This window comes from Homo sapiens, chromosome 7, assembly GCF_000001405.40.
Source record: "Homo sapiens chromosome 7, GRCh38.p14 Primary Assembly".
Taxonomy (NCBI): Eukaryota; Metazoa; Chordata; class Mammalia; order Primates; family Hominidae; genus Homo; species Homo sapiens.
Window position 1 is genome coordinate 77988715 of NC_000007.14, and position 7900 is coordinate 77996614.

At 44.0% G+C, this 7900-nt stretch overlaps 1 long non-coding RNA gene across 2 annotated transcripts, besides 1 other annotated feature; it reads left to right on the top strand.

Moving 5' to 3' along the window:
• Nucleotides 1151-2350: an enhancer, noted in NCBI's record as "MED14-independent group 3 enhancer chr7:77619182-77620381 (GRCh37/hg19 assembly coordinates)". NCBI's record gives its function as "activates an origin of replication core promoter dependent on BRD2, BRD4, P300/CBP and CDK7 cofactors, and independent of MED14, by STARR-seq in HCT116 cells {active_cell/tissue: HCT116}" and the evidence as "EXISTENCE:reporter gene assay evidence [ECO:0000049][PMID:35650434]".
• DDX3ILA1 (DDX3 interacting lncRNA 1) lies at nucleotides 1677-7652 on the top strand. Of its 2 annotated transcripts, NR_183362.1 has the most exons (3): nucleotides 1677-1963; nucleotides 2270-2468; nucleotides 6158-7652. It is a non-coding gene; the product is annotated as a DDX3 interacting lncRNA 1 (long non-coding RNA). The 2 variants fall into 2 exon arrangements; NR_183361.1 differs by lacking the exon at nucleotides 2270-2468.
• Nucleotides 7653-7900: the final 248 nt, after the last annotated feature.

Sequence of the window (7900 nt, forward strand, 5' to 3'; positions counted from 1 at the left end):
ATTTGTTCCAAGATTTACAGCCCTTTTAGCAGTTCTTGTTGTGGTAGCTTGGTAGTGGCGAATTCTCTCAGCATTTGTTTGTCTGAAAAAGACTGTATCTTTCCTTCAAATATGATGCTTAGTTTTGCTGGTTACAAAACTCTTGGCTGATAATTGTTTTGTTTGAGGAGGATGAAGATAGGGCCCTAATCCCTTCTAGCTTGCAGGGTTTCTGCTGAGAAATCTGCTGTTAATCTGAAACGTTTTCCTTTATAGGTTACCTGGTGCTTTTATTTCACAGCTCTTAAGATTCTTTCCTTCATCTTAACTTTAGATAACCTGATGACAGTGTGCCTAGGCAATGATTTTTTTTGTGATGAATTTCCCAGGTGTTCTTTGTGCTTCTTGTATTTGGATGTCTAGGTCTCTAGCAAGGCTGGGGATGTTTTCCTTGATTATTTCCCCAAATATATCTTCCAAATTTTAGATTTCTCTTCATCCTCAGGAACACTGATTATTCTTAGGTTTGGTCATTTAATATAATCTCAGACTTCATGGGGGCTTTGTTAATATTTTTTCATTCTTTTTTCTTTGTCTTTGTAGGATTAGGTTAATCCTACAAAGCTCTGAATTTCTTTCTTCTGCTTGTTCAACCCTACTATTGAGACTTTCCAGAGCATTTGTCTATAAATGTGTCCAATGTTTCCTGAAGTTTTGATTGTTTTTTCTTCATGCTATCTATTTTCTTGAATATTTCTCCCTTCACTTCTTGTATCGTTTTTTGGATTTCCTTGCATTGGGCTTCACCTTTCTCTGGTGCATCCCTGATTAGCTTCATAATTAACCTCTTGAATTCTTTTTCAGGTAAATCAGGGATTTCTTCTTTGTTTGGATCCATTGCTGTTGAGCTAGTGAAATTTTTGGGGGTGTTAAAGAGCCTTATTTTGTCATATTACTTGAGTTGGTTTTCTGGTTCCTTCTCATTTGGGTAGGCTCTGTCAAAGGGAAGGTCTAGGGCTGAAGGCTGCTTGCTGTTCAGATTCTTTTGTCCCATGGGGTGTTCCCTTGATGTAGTATTCTCCCCCTTGTCCTATGGATATGGCTTCCTGAGAACCAAGCTGCAGTGATTGTTATCTCTCTTCTGGGTCTAGCCACCCAGCAAGCATACCAGACTTTGGGCTGGTACTGGGAGTTGTCTGCAGAGTCCTGTGATGTGAACCATCTATGGGTCTTTCAGCCATGGATACCAGCATCTGTTCTGGTGGAAGTGGCAGGGTTGTATAATGGACTCTTTGAGGGTTCTTAGCTTTGGTGGTTTAATGCTCTATTTTTGTGCTGATTGGCTTCCTGCCAGGAGGTGGCGCTTTCCAGAGAGCATCAGCTGTGGTAGTATGAGGAGGAACTGGCAGTGGGCAGGGCCCTAGAACTCCCAAGAATATATACCCTTTGTCTTCAGTTGCCAGCGTGGGTAGGGAAGGACCAGGGCTAGGTGTGTCTCAACTCAGACTCTCCTTGGTTGGGCAGGTCTTGCTGCGGCTGCTGTCAGGAATGGGGATGAGGTTCCTGGGTCAATAGTGTTGTGTACCTAGGAGGATTATGGCTGCCTTTGCTGAGTCATGCGGGTTGTCAGGGAAGTGGGGGAAAGCCAGCAGTCACAGGCCTCACCCAGCTCCCACGCAATCCAAAGGGCTGGTCTCACTCCCACAGTGCCTCCCCTAACAGCACCAAATCTGTTTCCAGGCAGTGGGCAAGCAGGGCTGAGAATTGCCCCAGACTACCCACCTCCCAGCTGCAAAGGAAAAGGGCTCAGTTCTTCCCCCACCTGTGGAGTCTGCATGCTGGATTCCCGTTCTCCCCAGAGTTCTGGCCAGGAGGCTTCTTGCCTGGTTCAAATTGTTATGAAGTTCAGCTGGAGACTTCCTTCTCCCTGTGGCATTTTCCCCACACCTCTAGCTGCCCTCCTGAAGGATCCTGGTGGTGCCAGGTAAGAATGGCCTGCTTGGGGTCCCAGCGAGCTCCCAGGGCCTTTCCCACTGCTTCCTTTACCCTTGTAGTTCACTCGGCTCTCTAAATTGACTCAGCTCCAGGTAAGGTCGGAAACTTCTTTCGCAAACTAGGCCTTCAGTTTCCCCAGTGGGGGTGTGTGTTCGGGGGCGGAGGGTCTCCTTTTCCCACTTCCACAGTTGGGGCACTCACAGGATTTGGGGTGTCTCCTGGGTCCTGCAGGAGCAGTCTGCTTCCTTCAAGAGGGTCTGTGGGTCCTCTCGGCATTCCTGGTTTATTCCTGCAGTTGTTCTGGAGCTAAAATTCATGATGTGAGCCTCCGTATGCTGCTCTGTCTGTCCAAGTCGGAGCTGCAATCTGGTTCTGCCTCCTGTCTGCCGTGGTGATCCCTGTTGTAGTTTCTGTGTGTCTTCTTTTGAGAAATGCCTTGCGCCCTCCCGCTCTTCCAGGATAACTCAGGGCCTCCATCTCCTCCTTTGAAAACTGTAAGTGACATCTACCTCCAGGTCATATTTAATACCTTTCACAACTGGTATGTCCCAGGCCACTGAGAATAGAAGTGGATTATAAATAATTCATTAGGACTTACCGGTGCCAACCATCTGAATATCAGCCCTCTTGGGGTTAAATTAAGTGAGTTAAGTGAGAATTAAGTGAGGTAATGTGCTTGGCACAGTAATATGAAGTGGCTATAGGGTTATCCTCATGGTCCTGGATGCCCAGAACGTGAATGGTCTCACTGAGATTACATGAGGTGCCAGTGGGCAGCAGCCTGCGATGAGACTCTGTGAACACACCCAAGGCCTTAAAGGAGAGAGAATGCTGTGGCACTCTCAGAGAAGAAACCCAGGATGCTTTGGGGAAGAGGCTGGCAGCCTGGTCTTGTTTTCTGCACGTGGAGGCCTCTGGACCATGCACCTGACTATCAAGCCTGTACAGAAGGCAGAGGCGAGGCAGGAGTTAAGCGGTCTGTGAAGGAGGAGACCTGCTCTATTTCTCAGCTGTTGTTCTGTTGAAACAGGTGGATGAGTTTGAGCCTGAAAGGTAATAAGTAAAGGAGAAAGACTGGGAGCACTAGGCTCTGGGATGCCCTCTGCATGAGAAAGATGGGCACTAAACCTGTCTGAGGGGAAGGTGTAGACAGAAATAAACACGCCACAGCCTGGAGTCCAGAACCTTGAAAGTTTAATGAGAACAGTTAGTGAAGCACTGCCCTGTGATTCATCTCCTCACAAACAACACTTAAATCACGTAGGATCAGGGTAGACAACGATCATTTCATTTAGCTACTTAAAGGTTATTTGGAACTCTTAATAGCATGTTGTCAATAGGACCTGGCTTCTAAATCCAGGCAGATAAAAGTCCATTCGTTCCCCAGAGTGGAGGACTTAGGATCTAAGCCAACTCCATAAGCCTGATGCACCTGAATACGTGAGAAAAGGCAAAAGGAGATGGGAGTGAAGGGAGTTGAAGGGAGTTGCTGTGGTTTTGTGGGGTTTTTTTTTTTTTTACTTTTAAAAAATTATTTTATTTTTTCATGATCGCCTCCCAATAAGTCTTAGAAAAGTAATATTGAGGCCAGTGTTATTTTATTTTTTCATGATCGCCTCCCAATAAGTCTTAGAAAAGTAATATTGAGGCCAGGCGCAGTGGCTCACGCCTGCAATCCCAGCACTTTGGGAGGCCAAGGCGGGCAGATCACTTGAGGTCAGGAGTTTGAGACCTGTTCGAGCCTGGCCAACATGGCAAAACCTCATCTCTACTAAAAATACAAAAATTAGCTGGGCATGGTTGTGGGTGCCTGCAGACCCAGCTACTCAGGAGGCTGAGGCAGGAGGATCACTTGAACCCAGGAGGCAGATGTTGTAGTGAGCTGAGATCGTGCCTGTGCACTCCAGCCTAGGTGACAGAGTGAGACTCCATCTCAAAAAAAAAAAAAAAAAAAAGGAAGAAAAGTAATATTGAGAAAGGCAGTCACTGAATAGAAGGTTGCTGTTAGAGGGAATATTGCTATTGTGTTTTGTGAGCAAAGGAACATATTATACAAGCAGCAAGTTATAAGGGCTGTGCACACAAGGGCAGTTTAGTGTTATCAGAAAATAAAGCTTGCAGCCGAATGTGTCTGATGCATATTTAATAAGATCCTAACCAAAGGATATTAGAGCTATAAGGGACCTTGACGATTATCTAATTTAACCTTCTCATTTGCACCATGAGGGAAAGAAATGCAGAGATAACGTGTCCTGGGTTTACACAGTCTACAAGGGGTAGGGCAGGGATTGGCAATCGAGGACTCAGCCCCTCAACTGTCTGTCCAGGGCCATGCACTTCGTCATTACTGTGCTTCAGAGGCCTTGACTGTCCATAGAGAAACATGTCATGATTTTGTTGCAACTAGACAAAGCCCTCGGGGAGGCAGCTAGGGAAGGGAGAATTGAACAGAGCCAACATAGCTCAGGAGATCTTAAAACGCATGAATCTGGAAGCCAAAGGGCAGAGTCTTCCTCTTCCCTGAGAAGAGGTTTCTAGAGGTGTCAATTGCAACTGTATGTTAGCTATGGATAAAGGATTTGACAAAGCTCAATGAAAGCATATGTGAGAATCAATTGGCTGCATGGAATTTACAATACAGAGTATTATGTAGTTTACTGTTATTTGCTTATTGTGGGATATACATCATTTATAGCAGCAAAATGTATAATAAATGTATACATGTATAGGCATTTTTTTCAGAGAACTAGTTGTGAAACACCAGCATACCTCTGCTTACAGAGATATAAAGATAAATAAGATAACACAAATTTGAAGTGGATGAGAAAGAAAAAGGAACGAAAAGAAGAGGAACATATTAGAATAGGAAATAACAGTAATAGAAAATTTCATCTCCTTGTGTGCAGCTATATGACATGGTTGGCCACAGATTTTGTATCTAAGCTTCCTAGCAGATCTTGTATAAAGAACATTTGATTAGGTACTCAAGCTTTAGTGTTTTGGTGAGAAATTGTGAAGTTTCTCCTAAGCACAGTCCAGGAGGAATTTTATCCTGAGGATCTGGGGAGAGAAACAGTGTGTTTTTATAAAAGTCAGCGCTGTCCTTAGAGTAAACCATCATTTAGAGACACACGGGGCTGGGCAAAGTGGCTCCCACTCCTGTAATCCCAGCACTTTGGGAGCCTGAGGTAGATCACTTGAGACCAGGAGTTTGAGACTAGCCTGGGAAACATAGCGAGACACTTTCTGTACAAAAAATGAAAACAGCCAGGCATGGTGGCACATGCCTGTAGTCCTAGCTCCTTAAGAGGCTTATATAGGAGGATCACTTGAGCCCAGGAGTTTGCAGCTGTAATGCACTCAAACTTCAGTGGAGTGCCACTGCACTCCAGCTTGGGTAACACAATGAGACCTGGACTCTTAGGGAAAAAAAAAAAAAAAAAAAGGCACAGGGTTGCTTCCAGTAGAGCCCCTTGTCAAAGGCTGAAAACATTTTGCCGAAGTGTACTTGTAAGTGCCATACATTAAAGTACTTACGGATGAAACAATAGAAACTCTAGGATTTACTTTAAAATATTGTTGTTTTAGTCTGTTTTGTGTTGCTATGACAGAAACCTGAGACTAGGTAATTTATAAAGAACAGAAATGTATTCTCTCAAATTCTGGAAGCTGGGAAGTCCAAGATTAAGGCATTAGCATCTGATTAGGGACTTCTTGCTGTGGCCTCACATGATGGAAGGTGGAAGGGTGAGAGAGGAGGAGGACTGTGTTCTCACGTGCAGAACAGCGGAAGAGGGAAAGACAGAGAACTCACTCCCCAAGCCCTTTCCATAGTGGCATTAATCCAGTTGCAAAGGCAGAGCCCTTGCGACTTACCTCCTGAAAGGCCTTACCTCCTAACACTGTTGCATTGGGGAGATTATGTTTCCGACACATGAATTTAGGGGGACACGTTGAGACCATAGCTACTATACACAACACAGACACACACACACACACACACACACACACACACACACACACGCACGCACACACCTGTTGGAATGAATAATTGAAGCAAGAAGAACAAAATATTGATAAACATTGATGGTGAGTGATGCACAATTGGGAATCCACTATACTCCTGTCTCTACTTTGAGACAAGACTGAATCTGACTAATGTCTTTCATCTCTTATGTTATAGCCGTTCCTCCCCTTCACCTCCACCTGATTATTCATGTCGTGAAGAAACTGGTCTACTTGTCCTGTAGAATCGCCCGTATTGTGGATTTGGCCATTGCTTCTACATGATGATAAGAGAATGTTACATTAGCAGAGACATCCATTAAACAGGAGAGCTGAGGCCATCTGACGCTGAGAATCACAATAACAGGGACAAAGCCAAAAGGGAAGGAAAATGGGGGCCAAAATGGTGAGGGGAGCCAAAAAGCGTGAGAAGAAGCACGCTCAGCCTCACTGGCTCCTGACTTCTCTCTGAGTGAGTTCCGGCTTTCTGCATCTCCCCTCCTTGCCCTGGCACCTCGGCCTTCAGGCAGGATGGTGGGGTGAAGCCAGCGAGGGAGGAAGGTGCCGGGGCATCTCCCCCTCTGCCTGCACTGCTGGGCTAACACTTACAAAGGAAGATTTGAAAAAGTCTCTGAAACTGCAGGCTCAAAGAAAGGACAAATGCACTTCCAATCAAATCAGTGTTGAAGGGGCAGCATCTTTATCATCTGCCATCCTTAAGATTCATTTCACATTCAAATAAATAGAAAACTACTTGCAAAGGCAAATTAGACCCAGATTTACCCGCAGGTGGCATTTCATGCCATAACTTGATGGCACTTCATCAACATCGGCTTTTCTGGGCTCACTGATTAGTTCATGCTGTATGAAAAGTGCTTTACCATAATTTTTCATTATCTTCACAAGTTATGCCATTTGGAATCATGTAAGGTGGCTAATGTTTCAGGGATTCTTTTAAACACTTTACAATAAGAGATTCAAAGGCCAACTGCTGGTGACTCAGGGACCATTAAGACATCTGAGACATGACCATGATTAAAGATTAGTTGCGATAGTTATTTGGATATTATAGAGTCTTTGAAATATAGAAACACTCACACAAACTAATGACGATGAGCATCCGGGGCTTGGTGTTTCTCTGTGTCAGCTGCAGTAGAGGTGGGCGGCTCTCAATTCAGGCTCACTCCATGTCAGTTTCACAAGAAAACGCCAGTGCTGCCCCCAGCTCCCCTAGCTGCTAGGGCAGGTATTTCTATTTTCCATGCAGCACAGAAGAGGGGGCCTTACCACAGACACCAGGAAGAATAATGTCAAACCCATAGCAATCCAAACCTGGGAGAAGCTTGAAAACTGAGGATTGGTCTTGTCAATCCTACTGGCGGGTCTTGCCAGTTTTAAAAAATGAAATACAACAGAATGCAACAGAATGGGAAACAATCAGAGCACATTAAAAGAATAAGTACTACTTTGTGATACTTTTCAGTTATGTATGTGGGTATCAGTGTGTACTGAGGGTTGATGAGAAATGTATTTTTAAAATGTGAGTCAAGTTAAAAGACCTCAAAGAATGATGCTCTAAGAAATTATATACTGGAGACAGTCACGATTATATATTGGATGACGAAAAACAAAATAAAAATTAAAAATTAGAAATTTATAATTTACCCCTGGAATAAGCCACACTTGTAAGAAGTGATTACTTGGAAACATCACAGTGGTCTTGAATCAATGCTTTTTTCCCCCTGCTGCTCATGAGCTGTAGAATCAATGCTTAAACATTTCCTTAACAACAAGTTGAAAATGAAACAAACCTGTTATCTTTTCTGTCTTACCTCCCTGAGGTATATATAAGTTTGATGAATTTCTCTGCTCAGGTAATAGGATTTAGCATCCATTCATGTATTCATTCACTCAACAAACA